The following is a 25068-nucleotide window of genomic DNA, read 5'->3' on the forward strand; positions in this document are numbered from 1 at the left end:
TTGTATTTGAATTGCAAGATAATTATTAAGGCCTTTGGAACATTTAGCCTTTTAGAAACTTTGAAATAAATTATACTCTCACAAATAGTGATAAGAAAGCTAGTTTGCCCATGCCCTAACTAACACTGAGAATTATCAACTACCTGTTTTCATATGTAGACGCAACAAAATCTAACAAATGCAGAAGGTAGATAAGTACATGTGTTTCCTTCTAAATTTGTCCAGAGATTCCACAAGTCTTCCTTTGTGCTCCCATATCATCTGAGTCAAAACTGAGTCTTTGAAAGCAGGGACAAAGGGACAACATTGACATCCTAATTTTGGTCACCATGGTTCATAACTTCCTTTGTCTAACTCATTTGTTCCTTGTACAGATGGTGCCCAATTTATGATGGTTCAGTTTAACTTTTCAGCTTTATTATGGTTTGAAAGCAATTGGCATTCAGTGGAAACCATACTTTGAGTATCAGTATAGCCATTCTATTTTTCACTTACGGTATAATATGAAATACATTCATGAGATATTTAACATTTTTTATCATAAAATTGGCTTTGCGTTAGATGATTTTTTGCCCAACTGTAGACTAAGGTAAGTGTTCTGAGCATATTTAAGGTAAGCTAGGCTAACCTATGATGTTTGGTACACTAGGTATAATAAATGTACTTTCAACTTATGACATTTTTAACTTAGGATGAGTTTATGGGGACATAACCCCTTCATAAATCAAGAAACATCTGTACTCTCATGTGTCTTAGCTCGAAGGCTGCTTTTGTTTCAAGTTACTCAATAGTTTACAAAAGTCAGGTCAGCAGCAAAAGAAGTGAGCTGGAACATAGTATATGGGATGGCCCCTTTATTCTTACATAGTCAATGCATTGTTACAGTATATTTGTTCATTTATCCACGAGACTGGAAAGCTGTGATTTGTTCAGTTTTTTTATTACAGCAAAATAAGCTTATTTAAAATGAACAAAAACTTACCTTATTTCCCTGCATCGTAAACAAATTAAAAAATAAGAACAAAAATTAGCTTCCTTAGAAAATTTCAAAGGAATTATAATCTATCAGAGGCATCAACAAATGTTTTTTGTAAAGGGCCAGATAATACATATTTCAGGACTTGCAGGCCATATGATCTTTGGCAGGATTATTCAGCTCTGCCCTTATAGTGTAAAAAACAGCAATAAATAATATGTAGGCAAATAAGTGTGACCGTATTTCAATAAAACTTTATTTATTAAAACAGGTGCCTGACTGGGTTTGACCTGCATGCTGTAGTTTGCCAATTCCTGTTCAATCATACAATTTGATTATGAAGAAAAAATAGGCCAGGCACAATGGCTCACACCTGTAATCCCAGCACTTTGGGAGGCCAATGTGGGAGGATCTCTTGAGATCAGGAGTTCAAGACCAGCCTGGGCAACAAGTCAGCCACACTCTCTGCAAAAAAAATTTTTTTTAATTCGCCAGGTGTGTTGTGTGCACCTGTAGTCCTAGTTACTCAGGAGGCTGAGGTAGGAGCATTGCTTGAGCCCAGGAATTCGAGGCTTCAGTGAGCTATGATGGCGCCACTGCACTCTAGTCTGGGTGACAGAGTGAGACCCTGTCTCTTAAAAAAGTAAAAAGAAAGAAAAAATGCACTGAGAAATGTTTGCATAATTATTCTCCTAAAATGAAATCATTGTTTATATGAAATGAAATCATTTTTACATTAAGATATGATTTCTATTAAACATCTGATAATTGAGGGGGATCATATATGAAGACACTAATATTCCAAGAATGGATGATTACTCTTGCAGAAGGGGCATAGGAGGGAAATGTCTATGAGTTCTAAGACTAGAGGAAAACAGTTTAGAAGTTGAGGTGCTGAATTTGGAGGAAAGGGAATTAATTAAAGAGACACCAGGGGCTAAATACTTTGGGGCTAGTCTGAGTCAAGAAAAAAAGATTGAAATTTAAAAAAATCATGCCACTAATTCCAGCTCTTTGGGAGACCGGGGTAGGAGGATTGCTTGAGCCCAGGAATTCAAGACCAGCCTGGTCAACATGGCAAGATCTTATCTCTACAAAATACAAAATATAAAATATAAAAAATTAGTCGGGTGTAATGGTAAGCACCTGGGGTCCCAGTTCAGCTACTTGGGTGGCTGAGGTGAGAGGATTGCTTGAGCCTGGGACATTGAGGCTACAGTGAGCCGTGATTGCACCCCTACACTCCAGTCTGGGTGATAAGAGTGAGACCTGGTCTAAAAAAAAAAACAAAAGAAAAAGAAAAAAAGAAAAAGAAGAAGCTCCTTTTGCTTCACCCAAGTAAAAATACCAAAACTCTGCTATAGTTCTTTAAAACTTACAAATCTTAGAACAAAGATTACGTGCTGTGGAAAAATAAAGCCCAACTTGACCTCAGTGCAAAGGCACAACTCTGCTAACTAGCAACAGACATTGAATAGCAGCAGCCATTCTCATCTTGATCATTGTGTTATTAGTTTTGGCAGATTTGTTGTACCTTATTGCTTATTTTGGAGATTTTTAAAAAACATTAGCTATCATGGCTAGTATGTGCAAAATAGCAAAGATGGGATGTAAGTGCTAGAAAGTACTCGCAAGAGGCATAAGGTGATGAGAGAAATGTTCAAATGGAAAGTCAGCACCAACATAGATATGGACATGGAGCAATTTCCTGCAGATGTATCATATTGTGTATTGTATACATTTCTGTAGTATCGCTTTGGCTTTATGGATAAAACAATGTATGTTATCAGAAGGTAAACCTGTTTAAAAGTTCAGAATAGCTTTTGCATTCTTTTCCTGCATTACACAAGCCTTTCTGCCAAAGAATTTTGGCCTATATGGCAGATTAATAATGGCCACAAATTCTTTGATACTGCCATGAGAGTTGGGCTGTTCCCTCTCAAATTCTCTGACTTACAGAATACACTGGAAGTGACCCTGTGCTAATTTCTAGGCCCAGGCCTTAAGAGCCCAGCTATTTTTATTTCCTGTGTCGTGTAACAATTTCTCTTGGAACCTTGAGCTACCCAGTAAGAAGTCCAACTATCTTGCTAGAGAGAACTACATGGAGTAGGAGAGGGGCCCCACTGAGCCCAGCCTTCCAGTCATCCTGTCAAGGCACCAGGCATGTAGGTGAATCCATCTTGAACCATCTAGACCAGCTCAGTTATCAACATGTTGAGCAGAAGAATCATCCAGCTAAACCCTGCCCAAATGCCTGACTTACAAAACTGTGAGATATAATAAAAGGGTTTTTTTTTAGTCCACTACATTTTGCCATAATTTGTAACACAGATATAGGTAACTTGAACAGCATACATGAATGATGAACAGCAGGAGGCATTTACATGCATTTTACAGCAAATAATTACTTTGTGTTTCTCCCTTTTGTTTTTTGTTTACTTTCAATAAAATATAAATCCCCAGCTTTTGCCACTCTATGCGTAGTCATCTGAAAGTCATGATATTTCACTTTTTAAACTTCATCAAGACATTTCAAAGATTCTTGTTGACTCATAATTGCCAATTAAAAAGTTACTTTTAAAAAAAAAATGTAAAGGCTGTCACAGAACCAGGGTGAACTGGCAGGCAGATCTTAAAAGTATGCAATGAACTAGACAGCTGAATTAAGCAATTAATCTTCATAACCAAACCCAACTTAATTTGCCTTGTTCGATGATTTCCACCCTTAGTTTTAAAGCATACCAGGCATTGCTAATAGCTTCAAGCAATCACAAAATTATCCATAATATTGCAAAAGACCTTTTCTTGCAATCATTCACATTAGAATAAAAATGTAAGGCATGTCAAATAGCAAGAATTTGGGGGGAGGATAAATTGTAACTTCCATGCATATACAAACTTCTTTAGAATGTAGGCTGAGTATCGTGAGAATGGATAATACTTGTTTATATACTTTCTTCGTATTCCCATCTGGTATTCTCATGTATGTAATTCTATGGCAACATTTTATTTTCTCAGGTCAGGGCCAGGAAGTCTGTTGAATTCTATGAACATCTGGCTTATGATCTCATGAGATACACTAGTTAACTCATGGGAAAATTATTTTTTTAACATGAAGCAAAATAACAGTTTATGGTGACAATCCTTTCTTATAAAAATTTCTTTTTAATGTAGCCTGGCATGATGCAGGATTTCTCAAAGAGTTCTGCAGGATACCATTCCTCAGAATATTAAATATGTGTTAATTGGATTAAAAGATGCCTTTGCAAATAAGTTCAGAAAAATTTAGAAAGAAAAATGTTAAACATGTTTCCTTTCTGAAATTTTCTGGGAATCTTGAATGTGCTAAACTCTATGAATCTCTAAGGGACCCCACAATGTGCAGAATCAAACATTGTTGACTGTGGCATCATTTTTGGAAAGACATTTTGTGGGATGAGTGTAGACTAAAACACACTTTGGGAAATACTGGCAGAATAGAAAGAGTCTGGAACTGGGAGCCCAAAGGACTTGGTTATAATCCTGATCTGCCACTTACTGCCTGGGTAAGTTATTCTATTAATCTCAAGATCATCTTAGATAAAATGAGGATAATACATGCACGAACTATTACCCCACAGAATTTTTATGAGAAATAAATCAGAAATTGTGGGTAAGAGTGATTAATCAATGCCTAGCATTCAGCAGGCCCTAGTGACTGAATGCTGGAGGAATGATTATCTTTGTACAATAATGTCTTTAGTTTATTTAAGGTCCTGATGAGAGGCTCACATGCTTATGAAACAGGCGCCAATTTCTGATAAACTTTGCAACCTTTATACTGCTCAGATGAGTCTAGGCCTGGTTTTCCCTGAGGCTTCTCATCATCTTGTGGCAATGACCACCAGGTGTGCTGTATTACCTGCTGAATTGAAGATCAACTTGGTTTTGTTTTTAAACACATCTTACATTTGGGCAACCAATTCCAGGGATTTTAAAATCAGTTTCTCAAGAAAATATTACATGGAGGTAGAACCTATCTTGGAGCAGAGGGCTAGAATCGGAAACTCAGGACAGGGTTTACTTAATCTCTTTGACTTTTTGTTTCCTCACTCATAATTGAAAATAATAATTTCCCCATAGTAATATTATGAGCACTGAATCTGATATTATGTATAGGAAGTACATTGTATTGTGTATCATTAATAAACCATTTTTATGACTATCATCAAAAGAGATCTTTCATAGAATTATATAATATAGTATTAAAATTAAAGAATCTAATATAGATCACCTAGTCAAATGTCCTCCTTTTCTAGAATTAAAAAAAAAAAAATCAGAAGGATGAAGGAATTTAGCCAAAGTCGTATAGTTCTCAGTGGCAAGTCCAGATAGAATATAACGGCTTTTTCCAAATATTCAAAGAAGAAAACATTTGCGCTATATGACCCCAAGGGATCAAATCAGTAGTGAAAGCTAGAGGAAACTATATGAAAATACACATCTAACAATCTCAATCTTAGTGCTCTACTGTTGAAATAGGTTGCCTCGGGGTTGCCACTCACCACCCTTCCCCCACCACCACCACCTATTTAGGTATTAAAGCTGGCTCTAGGGAGATGAAGTAAGCCATATGTACAGGTATCAGTCTCTGGGTTTTGTGAATCGGAAATTAATCATATGCATCATGGTTTGGCCTTGTGGTTGACACATTGCCTGAGACAGTCCCAGACCTATGACAGAGCCAACTCTGGAACTGTATTTTATAGAAATGCAGGAGCCACAATCTCACTGGAAGAAAGGACTTAAAGCTATAATTTCTTAGCACTTTACATAAGATTGAGAAAATGTCAAGTATCCATATCAAAGAATAGAGTTTGAAGGAGATTACAGAGGGACTAAATTCCTTTAACCCACTTGGCATTGCTGTTGGTTATATATAGAAGCTGGGCTCAACTCTGCTGGATAGCTAACCACAATTTCAGAGCCTGTAATTTTCTGTTATCTGTACTGACGCCCTTTTTATTTATGTGGATAATTGAAAGTTGACTATAATTATGAAATCTGACAACCTCAAGACAAACTCATTGAACATCTTTCTTTTAGAAACAATGTGAATTGAGATGTTTTATTCACTAGGCAACCCAATAATATTTGCTCATGGTTAAGAATGTACTATCAATCACGATATCCCAAACAAAAAACACAAGAGAACAAGCCAACAACAACAAAGTTTTCCCTTAGAGACAATTGTAATGAGACAGGACAGGCATTGCCCCAAAAGAGAAGTGAGAGATAATTTGAGGAAGTAAAATAAAGTTTAGTAAAGGCTGGGATATTTCTGTGGAACCTACTAAAAGGGGAACTCCAAGATATGCCTCACATTTGCCCAGATCTAGATCTGAGTTTGCATATTTTGTGATTTCAGAGTATGTTCTGACTAAAACAGCAAACACACTTAATATAAGTGGTTAATGAAGCTACCAGCAAAGTGGGCACATCCTGTCACAGTGCACATAATAATAACAAAGCTAATATTGAGTGCTTACCATGAGCAGGTACTGTACTAAAACGTTTCACATGAGTTAACTTGTTTAATCCTTGTACTAATTATGATATTTGTACTATTCTTAACCCCATTTTCAGGAAACTGAAGTTTAGAGACCTTGACTACTTTCCACAGCTGATAACTGTTAACTTCAGGTTTGAATCAAGGTCTTCTGACTGCAGACCTGTATCTTCCTTATATCTTGTCCACCTACCCTTGGTAGATCTGAAATGGAGTCCAGTCTTGTTGTGTCAGTACTGCTGTCATTGTCCCCAGAGCAGCCCATTGTTTACTATGTAGGGTGACCAGCAATCTGTAGGCCAGCCTTTGGGGCATAATGTGCCTCTTTTGTGTTAATCCTTAGAAAAAACCTACTTAAAAATATGTTCTTTTTCCATTAGAGTCACGACAGGTCAAAGATCTACTGAGGAGGGGATGTGTCTTTACTTGATACTGTAGGCTTTAATCAGGAGAAGTGGCATAAACTTAAGCAAGAAAACCTTTGGGGCCAGGTGCGGTGGCTCATGCCTGTAATCCCAGTACTTTGGGAGGCCGAGGCGGGCGGATCTTGAGGTCAAGGGATAGAGACCATCCTGACCAACATGGTGAAACCCCGTCTCTACTAAAAATAAAAAAATTAGCTGGGTGTGGTGGCATGTACCTGTAGTCCCAGCTACTGGGGAGGCTGAGGCAGGAGAATCGCTTGAACCTGGGAGGCAGAGGTTGCAGTGAGCGGAGATTGGGCCACTGCCCTCTAGCCTGGTGACAGAGCGAGACTCCGTCTCAAAAAACAGAACAAAACGAAACAAAAAAACCTTTGTACCCTGATTTCACTTAATGTTACCTAACACTAAGTGTATTTCACAGGTGCTGCTGAGGAAACCATTCAAAGTCCTAGCCTATCTATGACAGGCCTTAATATCCTAAAGCTAAGAAAGGTAGGGTACAGAGTCAGCCATATACATGTATAAAGCAGGTAGACATTCAGGATGCTGAAAAGGGTACCTGCATCATATTTGTTTTCCCCTAGACTTGCCAACTAGTCTGAAATTTCCACCACTACTATCACTTATTTGGATAAAGCCCCCATATTAGAATATAAACATGTTCTTGAAAAGATGAATACGTTAAGCCATTAATATTCACTACAGACAGTGATGGTTAACACTATAGCTGTAATGTTAGAAAAGGACAGAGCTTTGAGGGAATGAGACCATGATAGGTAAATTTTGAAGAAAAAAAGAAAACTGGAAAGCTCATAACAGTGGTTTTCAAACACAGGCTTGCAGATTAGACAAAGGTATTCATTAATTTTTGGTGAAATAGGAGCAACAGGGAAAATGTAGTAAAATTTCTAATTAAAACTATACATTTAAAATTATAAAATTATAAATTCTGAGATAATGTCCTTCTTTTTGGATGGTATCTTGTCACTTCTGTTATAAGATGATTATGATAGTAGATGAAGGTTGAATTTTTTTAAAAGTCTGTGTTTGACAAAATAAAAAGCTAGCAATTTTTTGTTAATCATTAATGGATATACATGCATTCAATATTCTATTACACCTTCACAGTAACTGTGAGGAATTTTTTGTGATCATGCCTGTTTTATAGATGAGGAATCTCAGGCCTAGAGGATAAATAACTTATCCAAATTGATATAGCTATTAAGTGGCAAAACTGTGACTTGTCCTCCTTACTCACTCCTTTCATTTGGGACAAGGACACTGGGGCCTTTGAGGAAAAGATCAATACTAAAAACAGAAAGAGAAATGTTAGAAAAACCAAAGTACAGAAGATAAATTTCACCTACTTAATTTTAACAAACACTTTCTAGAACTTTGCTGGCAAAAATGTTGTCCCTTATACTTGGCATTTAGAAACTAACATCATAAAATCCTGAAAGTGTTAAGAGCAAAAAAAGTTTTAAAGTTCATTCTCCTTCTTTTCAATAAATGAGAAAACTTACAAGTAGCATCTGACTTAAAATTCTATATTGTTGCATATGACAAGCACTCAGAAATATTTACATAAAGCAAAAGGCATAACACAGCCATTATTGGTAATGTAGAGAAGAAAAAAGCAAAGGAAAATGTAGCCTGATCAGACCAGCTAAGTAACTGCATGAGACAAACTTCAGCCACTTCAGTCATCCATGACAAATGAAGAACAGTAAAACAGGAAAAACCCTTAAAATAGAATTAATTTCAACTCAGTGATATGCACATAGGAAGCATTCAACAAAAAGTCAATTACTGAAATAATAAATGAATGCCTAATTTTATATTGCTCATCATAACATGGGCAACATACATTCTTTCTTGTTCTAGAAATAAACATTTGAAGACCTGGGAAAATGCTTAACCAAGAAAAATCTATTACAAGGCTACACTTTGACTACATGTATTCATCATTAAATACAGGTATAAAATGAAAATGTCCAAATATGCTAATTTAGACATAATACATATAATGACTGAGATTTAAGAACTAGTATCATTTATTTGGCAGTTTTCCAAACTCTCAACATTTGGAAACATTTTCTATTACTGAGTCGTTTTGCCACCAGGGAACCCAACTAACTCCAGAATTATGCTTCCTTCAGGGAGATGGGAAGTTCTCATCAGCCACAACAACCTTGGCAGGTAGCTCTCTTGTGCTTACTCGGAACATATATTTGAGAATTAGAATAAAGACTAAAGGATATGCTCAGCATTTCCAAGTCCTTATGTACCCTGAATTGGCATCTACTATTGACTACGAGGACAATGGGTGAACAGTCAAATTACTTTTGGGGGGTTGAGAGGAGACAGAGACAGAATGGTATTCTGTGGTCTCAGCCATAAGCTTCAGGAAATCCATGGTAACTTTCATATCTCTAAAGCAAAGAGCTAAGGAAGCCCATCTAATGCTTCTGAAAGGCAGGTATTGAGGTGGCTGTGGGAACCTCTGAGAGCCCCTCATCTACCCTGTAGACCAAGAAACCACCTATCGCAGTGGAAGCTCATGTGCCCCATTGAGGAGTTTCCCACCATGGCTTGGATTTGCATGAGAAACATCATCAGACTGAATCTGATTCTTAAAAATGGATGAAGGGACAGAGAGGTAACTTTCAAGATGCTTCCACATTATTTAGGAATCCAAGATCATCAGATTCCCTCACTCCAGAGGGAAATTAAAGTTCAGAGGACAATGCCTGAGCCTACTGCTGACTTACAGAACCCATTTCACTCATAAATTTGAGCCCCCAAGGCCTAAAGGAGATGAGTGTGGTTCAAGCTTTCCCTTCATTTTCATTCTATACAGAACTGGCCATTTAACGACCGCTGGATCTTGGCAAGCAGCTACCTTATTTGGAGAAGTTCTAGCAGTTCTCAACCTCTAATTTCTGCTTCAGGCCTTACATTCTGGAAGGAGTAAGATGCCACTACAGTGGAGGATTCTTGAAGCTCTATACAGAAGTGGTGCACCATAGAGGGCCACAAACCTGAATACAGAACTCCCATTGCAGTGTGGCAGGGGCGGGGGGTTTACAGCCATTTCAGGAGACCCTAAAACAGATCAGGCAGATTTTGATGTGGGTTACAGGATTACCCTCTAGCCAGGAAGCTAGACTCATTTCTTCATTTGTCCAGCAATAATATATTAAGCTAAGCACCTATTTTTGTGAAACTAGAAAGGGTAGAATCCCGTAGTTTGAGGACCACTTCACAGAGGAATTAGGATTGCTGGAGATGACCAGCACTAAGTATGGGGCCAAGGGACTCTTCACTTAACCCCTGTCCCATACTTCACTCATGCCCTCAAATGGAAATGACCTATTTGACATTATCATTCATCAAATATTTTTTAGATCTACTGTGTAGAAGACATCAAGGCCAACGCTGTTGGACTGTTTATTAATCCATAAAAATGAGATCTATTTTAAATCAATAAACAACGATCTTAATTTTCTTTTGGCCTCAAGTACATAACACAGTGCCTAGCCCATAGTGGACATTTTAGAGATGTTCATTACATTGAAAAGAAAATAATTCCTATGATGAGAAGTATGTTACCTTGGGCTTTGTTTGGTTGGATGCAATTCATGGCTTGATATTTTCTCACCTGCAATGTTTTTGAACCAGTGAATAGTAATACTAAATAGCAATATAATAACAATTGATTTATTTTACTTTTAAGCCAGGAAAATTTGCTCACTCAGGTAGAGAAATTCAGTCATCCAGTCCACTGAGTATTCACTTACTTTAATGCCAAAATTTCAGCTCCTGTTGAAGTATTCATCAACAGTGCTGATTTGAAGCTTTTCTAAAATTGACTTTTACAGTTTTTGCCTTGCATCTCATCTTTCCCTGCTTGTAAGATCCATGTTATAATTGCATATTCCCTAGGAATATCTGTGAAAAGGGATATTGCTATACACCTACAATTACTATTACTCTCACTGTCCATGATTCAATATGCAGATGTGTTAAAATCAGTTGTTTACTGAAAGCAATAGAGTACATTTTTTAAACATGTGATTTAAACATTCAAATTTAAGACTACTGTAATAACATACATTCTCACTCATCGATTTTTTTGAGCTGATCTTTCTGAGAGAAAATAAGGAGGATTACAGCCAGATACCAGCAATTACACATAGCACACAAGAAGTCTCACTGGTTTACCTATGGAAGTGTGTGACACATATGAATGTCATCAGTCACATGCATCACAGTGAAGGAAAACTTGCAAATTCCTGTTCTATACTCATTCTCTTTTACTGTGAATTATAATCTTCTTTGGAAAATTTATATTTAATTCTGCTACAGTATGATTGTTCATCATTAGAAGTAAGACAATCGTCTTCTTGATCACACTAATAATGTACCTGACCGCCTTCATTCCACAGTCCTTTTTGCTGCAGTTTTTTTCCTGTAGCACTTATCTCCATCTGACATTCTCTATATTTTAATTATCAGTATATATCTTCCTTCTAGAATGTATACACTCCATGAAGATAGGGAGATTTGTCTTGTTTTCTACTGTTTTCCCAATAGTGCATGGCACATAATTGGCACTCAATAAATCTTTGTTGAATAAAGGAATAAGTAGTATGATAAGACTTGTTTTACTGAGCAACTCTTATGAAGAAACTAGTGATTTTTTCTATTTAGACTGCCAATTGTTTATTAAAACAAAATTTGGATGATAAGTGAAGTAGAAACCTCTAACAATCAAAACCACGAGTAAATCCAAAAGTGAAAATGGGTACCAGTGGGAGAGAAACAATCTAATATCATGGTTCTGTGCTCTGCTTGACAAATTACAGATAAATACAACTAAGTTGAATCTGTTTTTAATTGGCAGCTAGAAGTGAAAGGATTTTTAAAAGTCCTACTTTATTACATTAAAAAATAAACCAAAATCCTAAACTTGAATAATTCTAATGCTTAACGTGGACTGGCTCATGAGACGTATTTGTTTATTTACTTTTAATTAAACTTTTAATTTTGAGATAATTCTGATTCACATGCAGTTGTAAGAAATAATACAGAGGCTGATTGCAGTGGTTCACACCTGCAATTCCTCTACTTTGGGAGGCTGAGGCAGGAGGATAGCTTTAGCTCAGGAATTTGAAACAAGCCTGGGCAACATAGAGAGACCCTGTCCTTGCAAAAAAGTAAAAGATTAGCTGGACATGGATCACTTGGGTCCTGGAGTTCAAGGCTGCAGTAAGCCATGATGACACCACTGCACTCTAGCCTGGGCAAAAGAGTGAGACCCTGTCTCAAAAAAAAAAAAAAAAAAGAAAGAAAGAAATAGAAAAAAAGAAACAATACAGAGGGAACCCCTCCAACAATAAGATATTGCAAAATTATTGTACAGTATTACTGCCAGAGAATCCACACTGACATAAGTGAACATATAGCATATTTCTGAAACCACAAGGATCTCTCATGTTGCCCTTTTGCAGCTAACCTATTTCCCTCTTTCCCCCAATACCTCCTTAATTCCTGGGAACCACTAGTATGTTCTCCATTTCTATAGTTTCGTCATCGCAAAAAATGTTATATAAATGAAACCGTACAGCATGTAACCTTTTGGGATTGGCTTTTTCACTCAGAATAATTCTCTGGAGATTCATATAAGTTGTGGAGTGTATCACTACTTTCTTCCTTTTTATTAAATAGTGTCCAATAGTATGGATCTGCTATAATTTGTTTAACCTTCACCTGTTAAAGGACATCTGGTTGTTTTTGTTTTTGGCCATTATGAATAAAGCTACTATAAATAAATATTCATGCACAGTTTTTTTCTGTGAGCTTAGACTTCCTTTCTTTGGGATGAGTGCTCAGGGTTACAATTGCTGGGTTGTATGGTAATTGCACATTTAGTTTCTAAAGACACTGTCAAACTGTTTTGCAGAGTGGTTATACATTCCCACCAGGAATGTACAAATAATTCACTTTCTGCATTCTTGCCAGCTTTTGGTGTTGTCACTTTTTTTCTTCTGATAAGTGTGTATTACTATTGCATTGTGGTTTAAATGCATCTTTTTGTGATGGTTAATGATACTGAACATCTTTTCATTTGCTTTCTTATGCCCTTCTGGTGAAATGTCTGTTCATATATTTCGGCCATTTTGCAATTGGACTGTCAGTTTTTTTACTATTGAATTTTGTAAGTTCTTTATATATTCCAGATGCTAGTTCCTTGTTGAGTATGTGGTTTGCAAATATTTTCTTTCAGTTCACTGATTATTTCCTCTGTCCTCTACATTCTACTGTTGAGCCCATCTACTGAGTTTTTTATTTTGGTTATTGTATTTCTCCCACAATTTTCTAAATTAACCAATTGGTTCTTCTTGGTGTCTTCTATTTAATTTCTGAGGTTTTCTATTTTTACATTTGTTTCAAGTGTGTTATAATTGCTCATTGAAGCTTTTATTTTTAAAAAATCACGGCTGCTTTGAAATCTCTGTTAGGTTATTCTAACATCTCTGTTATCTCAGCATTGACATCTATTGATTGCCTTTTTTTTCATTTGAGTTTGAGATTCATTTATTCAATTGAGGCTCATTTATTATGGAATACCTGAAATAAAAATATCAGTCTGAAATATTCCTCCTTTATATGAGTAGGAATTTTTGAAGAAAACCTGAATATTTTTGCATTACGAGATTCTGGATCTTATTTTAATTTTATCTTCTAACTGGCTTTATCTGATACCACCCTGGCAGGAGAAGTGTGGGCACCACCTCCTTACAGCCAGGCAGGGGTAGAAGTCAACATTTCCTACTTTGTTTCCATTGTCCTCTGATGGGGGCAGGCTCCTCATGAATGCTGGTGGAGTAGAAGTCCCATCTCCCCACATGGTCTCCACTGGCATCACAGGTGGGTGGCCTCATTACTGCTGAGTGGTCATAAAAGGCCTGACTTTCCACTAGACTTTCTCAGATATGACCTCAGTGGGGATGGGAAGGGATGTCTTGTTACTGCAAGGAGAGGATGGAAATCCAGGCCCCACATGTGGTCCCCATTGATACTAAACGGGGATAGAGCACTCCTTACAGAAAAGTGGGGATGAAAGACCTGGTTTCTATTGGAACTTCTATAGGTCCTTGGAAAATCTGACTGTATCCTTATAACCTTACAAAAATGGAAGTCCAGGGTCCCCACTTAAGCTTTTACTGATATGGGTGGGGATGGGGGTCACAGTTTGACTGAAGTACAGCAATCAGTGTCAAAAATTTTTGCCTTACGAGGGTACCTATTTCCTGGTCCTTTGGCTAGAGAAAGTAAGCTTTTTTGGTCTTGGCCATTGTCATCCTAGGTTGCTTGCTTCTTCAGCTTTAAGTCTAGAATATATAAGGAGAAAAAAAAAACAAAAACTAAAATCCAGTAAACTCACTGCTATGTTGTTCCATGGGTCCAAAGGTCCCTAGCAGGTCTGCCCTCTCTCCACCTTTCAGAGTCTTCTTATGTTTGTTTTATATATAATGTTCAGGGGAAAATAAGGAAACAGCAATAGAAAAAAGCACCTCTGCTTTGTCTTCCTAGATATAGAAGCTCCTGTAATATATTTTATTCCTTACAAATGTTAAATAACTAGATAGTTATTACTGAACCTTCTGAAAGAACAATATCTAGATCTGTGTTGTCCAATGGGTAGAACTGGTAACTATATGGGAGTATTTACATTTAAATTTATTAAAGTTGAACATGAACTCCCATTCACAATTGCTCCAAAGAGAATAAAATAGCTAGGAATCCAACTTACAAGGGACCTGAAGGACCTCTTCAAGGAGAACTACAAACCACTGCTCAATGAAATAAAAGAGGATACAAACAAATGGAAGAACATTCCATGCTCATGGGTAGGAAGAATCAATATCGTGAAAATGGCCATACTGCCCAAGGTAATTTATAGATTCAATGCCATCCCCATCAAGCTACCAATGACATTCTTCACAGAATTGGAAAAAAACACTTCAAAGTTCATATGGAACCAAAAAAGAGCCCGCATCGCCAAGTCAATCCTAAGCCAAAAGAACAAAGCTGGAGGCATCACGCTACCTGACTTCAAACTATACTACAAGGCCACAGTAACCAAAACAGCATGGTACTGGTACCAAAACAGAGATATAGACCAATGGAACAGAACAGAGCCCTCAGAAATAATGCCACATATCTACAACTATCTGATCTTTGACAAACCTGACAAAAACAAGAAATGCGGAAAGGATTCCCTATTTAATAAATGGTACTGGGAAAACTGGCTAGCCATATGTAGAAAGCTGAAACTGGATCCCTTCCTTACACCTTATACAAAAATTAATTCAAGATTGATTAAAGACTTAAACATTAGACCTAAAACCATAAAAACCCTAGAAGAAAACCTAGGCAATACCATTCAGGACATAGGCATGGGCAAGGACTTCATGCCTAAAACACTAAAAGCAATGGCAACAAAAACCAAAATTGACAAATGGGATCTCATTAAATTAAAGAGCTTCTGCACAGCAAAAGAAACTATCATCAGAGTGAACAGGCAACCTACAGAATGGGAGAAAATTTTTGCAATCTACTCATCTGACAAAGGGCTAATATCCAGAATCTACAATGAACTCAAACAAATTTACAAGAAAAAAACAAACAACCCCATCAAAAAGTGGGCAAAGGATATGAACAGACACTTCTCAAAAGAAGACATTTATGCAGCCAAAAGACACATGAAAAAATGCTTATCACCACTGGCCATCAGAGAAATGCAAATCAAAACCACAATGAGGTACCATCTCACACCAGTTAGAATGGCGATCATTAAAAATTCAGGAAACAACAGATGCTGGAGAGGATGTGGAGAAAAAGGAACACTTTTACACTGTTGGTGGGACTGTAAGCTAGTTTCAACCATTGTGGAAGTCAGTGTGGCGATTCCTCAGGGATCTAGAACTAGAAATACCATTTGACCCAGCCATCCCATTACTGGGTATATATCCAAAGGATTATAAATCATGCTGCTATAAAGACACGTGCACACATATGTTTATTGCAGCACTATTCACAATAGCAAAGACTTGGAACCAAGCCAAATGTCCAACAATGATAGACTGGATTAAGAAAATGTGGCACATATACACCATGGAATACTATGCAGCCATAGAAAATGATGAGTTCATGTCCTTCGTAGGGACATGGATGAAGCTGGAAACCATCATTCCCAGCAAACTATCGCAAGGACAAAAAACCAAACACTGCATGTTCTCACTCTTAGGTGGGAATTGAACAATGAGAACACATGGACACAGGAAGGGGAACATCACATACCAGGGCCTGTTTTGGGGTGGGGGGTGGGGGGAGGGATAGCATTAGGAGATATACCTAATGTTAAACGACGAGTTAATGGGTGCAGCACACCAACATGGCACATGTATACATATGTAACAAACCTGCACATTGTGCACATGTACCCTAAAACTTAAAGTATAATAAAAATAAATAAATAAAATAAATAAAATTGAACAAAAGAAAAAATCCAGTTCTTCAGTTATACTAGCAATATTCTGAGTGCTCAATGTAATGGTAGTCTAGTGGCTACCATATTGGACTGTGCAGATACAGAACATTTTGAGCATATGTGAAAGTCTTTTGGACAAAGCTGACTTAGTAATGAACAAACATAGCTCATGATACCACTAAATATTGACCTGCCACAGAAAAATATGGGAAGAACCCAAGCATGGTGGTGTGCACCTCTAGTTCTAGCTACTTGGGATGCTGATGTGGGAGGATCACTTGAGTCCAGGTGTTTAAGGTTGTAGTGAGCTTTGATCAGTCAAGCCACAGCACTCCAGCCTGGGTGACAGAGCCAGAACTTGTCTCTAAAAAAAGTAACAAAACAAAACAAAACAAAACAGTTAAATAATACTAGAAGACAGATGGGTGAATAAATGACACTGTGAAGGACAGAAATAGGAGGGATGTGAATTTATTCACAATGCAAATTTCCAAAATGAACACCTAACCCACTATCACACCATAAATTATATTTTTAGTGATTATAGCCTGCTTAGGTCTGTCTCTAAGACCATCCCTTTTCCCATAGGTTGATGCAATTTGGAACAATAAAAACTGATGTAGCAGCTGAGAGTAGCCTGTATTTACTCTGACATTGCATGTCATGTTCTGGTGTCATCTGACTTCAGCAAATGTTGGACATATTCAGTCAACATCATTTTATTTGATAGAGGGGATTCATACACTTTATAGACTTCAGTATTTTTAAAAAAGAAACTGAAGCGATATAGAGGCAACTTTAGCAAGACAGTACAATTTCAGAGCAGCAAAACCAAAATACAAGGAAAATATATGCAAATAAAATGGGAGATGGTAAAAAATCACAAAGATGTCAGAACTGGAGGTTCTTATTTAACTTATTCAATAACTATTTATAAAATGCATGGTATTATAGTTGAATCATCAATTGCTCAAATGAGAAATTGAGCTACAGAGAAATTGGCTTTGTTGTTTAGTGGAAAAGTAAGGAAAAGCATTTAGGCCACTTCCTTCTGCATCAAGCACTCTTCCCACTTGTACTATATGGCCATGAAAAGGTCTTTCCTAGTCTTAACAGCCACACTGGATCCTTTATTATTTGAAAAAAAATCTGCATTTTCTGCCTCAATGGTTTACTTATGTTTTCCTCTCATTAACTCATTCCACATATCTTTGTCAAGCATCTACAATGAGCAGGAATTAGTAGGCACCAATGTACATCAGTGAACAAAACGAAAGTGTCTGTCAGAATATTCTAGTGGGGGTAGGCAGACAATAAATATGATACATTGTAAAATATGTTAGAAGATGAGTGCTGTGGAATAAAGATGAAGCAGAACAGGTTATATGGGGATCAGATGTGAGGTATGGGCCAGATGGAGTCACTCATATAGAATTGACCCATCATCACCATTTGTTGACATCTTAGCTCTTCTTCATTCTTCATCTCAAATGCCACCTCCTCCATAAAATCCTGCTCAATACCTTATTAAAATTAATCCTTCCCTCTATGCTCCTATCATACTTCCCACCTCTACTGCAGCACTCAGAACCTGCTTTGTGTTAGATGTGAATGCATCTAACTCTTCATCAGAGTATAATTCCTTAATAAACAGAATGTGCCTTATTAGTCATTTAATCAATGTGCAGAGTCACATATATGGGCTAGCTTAATAAGTGTGTGCTGAATAATGAATCCTAAATTAAACGTGAATTGACAAAGTGCTCAATTGTTTATAAAAGAGAATCCTGATATTAGGATTCAAAAATATAAAGTCAGTATGTAGATACTGAATGCCAGTCTTCCATTCATGCTTACATTGGTCCCTTCTGCCAACATTTATACGGCCAGAGACATAATAAATGCTAGCTGGAGAAAGTTTTTATTTTCTGCTCTTCCTGGATTTCTAATAACAAATGCCAGATACTAACATGCCAAACAGATCAAGCAAAATAATGGCATAATTAAGAACTTAAATTTGTCTTCAGAGCTAAAACGCATTATTCATACAGCCTACTAAATTAACCATTATACATTAGAATTTAGGCACCCTAACACCATTGCCTTTTTATACTATCATGCTTTTATTCAAGAAAATATGACTTATGTGAAATTGTCAACCTTTATTTTTCTCTTTGCCAATGAATAAAAAACACTGAAATAAGTTATATTCTTCTCTGTTCTTTCACAAAATATATTGCTTTACATGCACTACAACCAGTAAAACTTGTTGGCTAAGAAATTGTATTTTTTACAAGATGATAACATACTATCTTGAAAGCGCCGTCACAAACAATATCCATATACTCATACTACCAGATAAAGCATAACTATAAAACTGAGTTTGATTACACACTCTGTAGGTATGCTGATAGATAGGTATGAACAAAAGCCTTCCCCTAAACAATCATATAACTAAAAGTACAATGTAGTTTTTGCATTTTAGTTCTTTTTAAAAAATCAGTTTTAGAATTTAAAGATTTAATTAGTACCTAATTAGAATGTGTTTATAAATTCTTAGTAATTCAGTAGATTGAATTGGTTGAATTAGTGATTAATGTTGCTTTTTTGAAGAGAGATGTGACAACATGAAATATTAATGAATGTTTCACTAGAATTGCAGATGATGGATTCTTCTGATGAAAAAGAATTTAAAGCAAACCTCTTTTAAATAAGGAAATGTGTTCGCATTCTTAATATATTTTATTAAACTGAAACATTGATGTTTCTCTTAAAGCTACTTATTTTTTAACCAAAATGTACATACAGTATATATTTTAATTAAATTTTATTCCCGATACGCAGGGCATTACTATAGAGTACAATCAGGAGGAGTTTAATTGCTAAGGTTAGCATTCTCATTATTAGACAAATGTTATTATAATTATAGGGAAGCAAAATAGTTAAGTCATAAGTGAGAAACGTAACAATGGTGAATGAAAGAAAGAATGCATGGCCAGAGGCAGAACAAATGCAAAAAAAGTACAGGATGACAACTAACACAAGAGATCATGCCTGTACCCACTAGATTCAATGTTTGGCAAAGAATATGGCTATGTCTTGTTTCTATTTTCCTACTGTGACTAGTATAATGCTGTGTGTGTGTGTGTGTGTGTGTGTGTATAGACCTGCATTAAGTACATATTTAACTAATTTAATTATGTACATAGGGCCAGCCAAGTAGCTGGCCCTACTAACTCTATGTCTTTGAGGCTGTAGGTCAATGTTATCAAAACAAGTGATAAATTCAATGAAAATTAAATTGTTATGTAAAATTATTTGAAAAAATTTTAGTTGTTTGACTTAATTTTTAAATGTTTTGATCACCTGTTTGTTGTCATATTATTATCAGAAAGTTCAAAGTTTAAGTGGGCCAAATCTATGATTAATCCTCTTTGGTACAAAATATTGACATTAATTTTTCTCATAATAATTATTTTGATTTAAATGTGTTGTTAGGCACATTTTCAATGATGAACTGTGTTCATATATGTACATAAAATTTGAATTTGGTGTCTGTGAATACAGAATGGGCATTTTAATGCATTGCTGCCTAAATACACTCATATACACAGACATACATATATCTATATTAAGTTTATAAGTTTGGTCAGGCACAGTGGCTCATGCTTGTAATCCCAGCACTTTGCAAGGCTGAGGCATTAAGATTGCTTGAGGACAGGAGTTTCAGAACAGCCTGGACAATATAGCAAGACCTTCATCTCTATAAAAAAGTTAAAAAATTAGCTGGGCATGGTGGCACACACCTGTAATCCCAGCTACTAAGGAGGCTGAGGAAGGAGGATTGCTTGAGGCCAGGAGTTCAAGGCTGCAGTGAGCTATGATTGCACCACTGCACTTCTGCCTGGGTGACACAGTGAGATCCTGTCTCTAAAAAAGAAAAAAAAGTTTATAAGTTTAGAAATTACGAACGTGCTTGTCTATAATATGGATACGGTATGGGGATTCAACAGAGAATATTTTATTTGTGTAAAAGTGACAAGAATTTTTTAAAATATTTACATTATATGAGTTTATTTTAGCTACACAATTTCACGTTTGAATTAAAGTTAACTCAGGAATGCAAATTCCCCTTACATTTTGTAGATGCTCTGACTTGCTGCTGCTAGTTTATCAGTAAACATTAGTTGGGTGTTGTCACAGCAAATGGAAAAAATGTTATCTGTCAGTATAAGTAGGCCCACTAGTGTCAGCAGATAACAGAGAGAAGAGAAATAAGGTGTCATGTTGAAGTATGAAAAACTAAAAGACTTTTAAAAAGTATATAATAGTACCCTCCTTATCCTCAGGGGCTATGTTCCAGGACTCCCAGAGGATACCTGAAACCAAGGATAGTATCAAGTCCTATTATATATTATGTTTTTTCAATCTGATAACCAAAAAGCCTGCTAAGTGACTAATGGGTGGGTAGCATATAGAGCATAGATATGTTGGACAAAGGGATGATTCACAGTGGTGTGGGATCACATGAGATTTCATCAGGCTACTCAGAATGGTGTGCAACTTAAAACATATGAATTGTTTATTTATGAAATTGTCCATTTAATATTTTTGGCCTGAGATTGACCACGGGTCAATTAAACCTCAGAAAGTAAGACCACCTATAAGGGGGAACTACTGTACTTATCCTTTTAAGAGTGACTCCTTTAAATATTATTTTTAGGGTAATACACAAATAGCATAATTGAAAACATTCAATAAAAAGCAATTTGCAAGTAATATAATTTAAGAAGTGGGTACATATAGTTTCCATTGTAACTGGTAATATACACTAAGGTGGTATATGATCTTCATCAAGATGAAAACAAATAATAAAAATTGTTTTAAGGTAATATCTGCTCATACTTCATGGAGATTTTTTCAAGAAAAGATCTATAATAGGAACTTCTTTTTTACCTTTAAACACCAGTGCAGAGAAATTTATCTCTGCTTATCTAGACTCTGTTCAGTTGTAACTCCCCCTTCAAAGTATTTGTCTTTAATTCATTTTATTCCTGTTAATCCAAAATGCAATTTAAAAACCCCACATGTCTCAAAATGTCAATTCAAAGTGGCATTTACTATCCAGGCACTTAAGTATTTAGCACCTGCAATATCCCTAGTATTGGGCTACATATGCAATGGGATTACTTAAAAATAAAAACCATGCATTTTGTTTCATAGTCAAACAAAAAGCATGCATTTTGTTTCATAGTTAAGACTTATGCATAGTGACCAATTAAAGAACACAGTATGCCAGGCTTTGTATGCAGACAAAAGTGCTATGGTAATTCTGAGAATTGTTGTATTACTATGAAGTGAGGAAGTTGGGAAAAAACTTGGAGAAGGTAAAGCAAATTAGGAATGCTATAAATGCCTAAAGTGGATGGTGAGGAGGAAAAGACAGTGTTCAAGGTTAGGGAAACAGCAAGAACGAAAAGAGTGAAAAGGGTGAGATATTTTAGGCAGGGGAAAATTAATCATCATCCTAAAGCAGATTTGTGTGTTTGGAGTGGTGGGGACCAGGCTTTTTTTATATCCCCAAGCTTTGCTTTCAAATTTACAACTGTCAAGTTTCAGAGTTTCTCACCTATCTTTATCTTGTTGATGACTTTACTTATAGCATTCTCTTGGTCATGCTGTCCTGATTTTACCTTATTGCATAAGCTTTTCACTCTAGAATCAGAATATCCTTTCTTATATAGTTCTATAAACTGAACAGTTGCCCATTTCCTGATTTTTGTTTTTTTTCTTTTTTCCTAGCTGCCAGCATTTTTTCTCTTAAGACTAGCATCAAAGATCCGGGAAATGATCCAGGCTTAAGTTGGCCAATGCACTTCAGTCCGCAAAATGTTTATTAAGCCCTTACTGGGAACAGACATATACACAGATGGAAAAGCCATGGTTCTTGCCCTTTGGAGGCTTTTAGCCAGGGCAAAGCCTCTTTCCTGCCTCAAGTCTGCCTACATTGTTTTCAACTACAATCGCAATTTTAAGTTCACCAAAACAGGAAAAAATAAAATGAAATGATAAATGTTAAGAAGGCTAAAAACTCACCAAAAATAAGAATGAATAGCTTATATCTGTGAGGCACCTGTGATGAAAGGGTAGCGTGGTAGAGTAGTTTGGGTCTTTACTCTGTCGCTTCAAGTATAACTTTGAACAAGTTGATACAGGGAAAGCAGAGGGGAACTGACATTTCTTGATTATCTATGATGTGTCCAGAACTGTGACTGGTATTAATTATATATTATTATTTAATATTCATAGATCACACCACCTCCAAACCCCCTTAGAAAACCACACCACCACCACCGAAAACAAAAACTAGATTCTTCCTCTTTTAAAGACGACCGAAACTTAGGTGCAGATAGGCTAACCTTGGAGTTTCAGACAGACCTGAGATTTCACCCTGGTCTCAACTCCTTAGCTCTACCACTTATTAGATTTTTGGCTAAGTCATTCATTCATTTATTCAATGCCTAGTATATGTCAAGCATGCTGCTTGACACTGGGTTTGTTGTTGTTTGTTTGTTTGTTTGTTTGTTTGTTGGAGACGGAGTCTCACTGTTTTGCCCAGGCTGGAGTGCAGTGGCATGAACTCGGCTCACTGCAACCTCCACCTCCCAGGTTCAAGCAATTCTCCTGCCTCAGCCTCCTGAGTAGCTGAGATTACAGGCGCACGCCACCATGTCCAGCTAATTTTTGTATTTTAGTAGAGACAGGGTTTCCCCATGTTGGCCAGGTTGGTCTTGAACTCCTGACCTCAGGTCATCCACCCACCTCGGCCTCCCAAAGTGTTGGGATTACAGGCATGAGCCACTGCGCCTGACCGACACTGGGTTTTAAGGCAACATTGTGGCATGCTCCCTTTCCTCAAAGCTCTTACAGTTCAGTAGAGGCAGACAGGCATGTAAGGAAGCCCCTGTAGTTAAGTGACAGATGTAGTTCTGAGGGTCTGTAAACTGTATAGGGGGTACAAATTAGAACCTAGTCCATTCTAACCCTGGATTAGCAGGTGGCAGAGCTCAGAAAAGCTCTCAGAGGGGAGGTTGCCCTGAGATCCACATAGTCACCCATTGAATCAGGTGATCATGAGAAAGAACAAGACATTCTAACCCAAGCAAGCATTAGGGCCTGAAACAACTTGGTAAGAAATGAAAGTGTTTCAGGTCTGGCTGGAGTAGAGAGCTGCAAGGTAGGGGTAATAAAATCTACTTCACTTGTTAGAGGATTAAAGAGGTAACATATAGAAAGTGCTAACTGTAATGTCTGAGACATACAAGGTGCTCAATAAGTGTTTCTATTCTGCTTCCTTTCAGTTTCTCCAATTGATTATATCATTTTCCACCTCTGAAATTCCATAATTTTTTTCACATTGTATGGGTTCTTATTGTGAATTGGTTCACACACTACTTGGCACACTGTTCATGTTCAGTTAATAGTCTCTACCACATTTGATAGAAGGCTGGGTAAAACAAGATGTAAATTTTAATAAATGATTGAAGCAAAAGCTGAATTGAACTTCAACACTTTCTTCTTCTCTGTCCCTCCACAGTAACTACAGTAACTTGAATCGATTATTTTGCATGTGTATATGTGTGTCATGGATGTATAGAGCTTCAGTATCAGTTCAACACATTGGGGTAGAATTTAATATGTTTCCAGGGGGATTGTTCATTTGCTTCCAAACCGACAAAAGCTGCTTTTCTGTCTCCAGAAGTTTGTAAGATCACAACATCAACCATACTGCCAGGAGGAGACTTGAAGGCAATGCACCATAATAATATGACCTTAGAGCCCATCATTTGTACATAACTTAGAGTCAGCCTTATCTCCACTCCTAATTTGTCTCCGTCTCTCTTACATGGTCCTGTACATACTTTTATCCACTCCAAAAGTGTATAAACTTTGAAGCCATGATTTGTTTTATTCAACTTGTTCAGGTCCTCCTAGCTGCCCCAATCTACAGTGCTTTACCCTTTTTAGATATTTAGCAAATATTTGTTAAATTTTACAGATACTCAGTTGTTTTCTTTTCTCTGCTCACACGCAGTGTCGTGGCAGCAGGCACAGTCTTGAGATGCAGAAGGACAGCGGCGAGCTTGTGGACCTGTACATGCGGCAGAAAGTCTCTGCTAGTAACCGCGTCACCGGTGCCAAGAACCATGCATCCATCCAGATGAACGTGGTGGAGGCTGACAAGGTCACAGGCAGGTTTAATGGCTAGTTTAAAACGTATGCTGTCTGCAAGGTCATTTGCAGGATGGGTGAGTCAGATGACTACATTCTCTGATTGGCCAAGGCCAGTGGCATCATCTGAAAACATGTTTGACAGGAGAGAATCATGGATATGGAATGTTTGTCATAAATAAACAGTGTAAACCTAAAAAAAAATTAAAAAAAATTTTTAAATACCCAGTTAATCAGAAATTAAACATAATCCCACTTATTATAGCAGGGTTCCCTGAGCTGTGGTGGCACACATCTAAGATAAGTAGATGGAGGGTACAGCAGG

General features: G+C 36.9%; 1 pseudogene, besides 2 other annotated features; it reads left to right on the forward strand.

Moving 5' to 3' along the window:
- Positions 6226 to 6405: an enhancer, noted in NCBI's record as "active region_21650". NCBI's record gives its function as "activates an Ori minimal core promoter by ATAC-STARR-seq in GM12878 lymphoblastoid cells {active_cell/tissue: GM12878}" and the evidence as "EXISTENCE:reporter gene assay evidence [ECO:0000049][PMID:35858748]".
- Positions 6706 to 6755: an enhancer, noted in NCBI's record as "active region_21651". NCBI's record gives its function as "activates an Ori minimal core promoter by ATAC-STARR-seq in GM12878 lymphoblastoid cells {active_cell/tissue: GM12878}" and the evidence as "EXISTENCE:reporter gene assay evidence [ECO:0000049][PMID:35858748]".
- RPS21P3 (ribosomal protein S21 pseudogene 3) lies at positions 24588 to 24939 on the forward strand (annotated as a pseudogene).

Source organism: Homo sapiens, chromosome 4, assembly GCF_000001405.40.
Source record: "Homo sapiens chromosome 4, GRCh38.p14 Primary Assembly".
Lineage (NCBI taxonomy): Eukaryota > Metazoa > Chordata > Mammalia > Primates > Hominidae > Homo > Homo sapiens.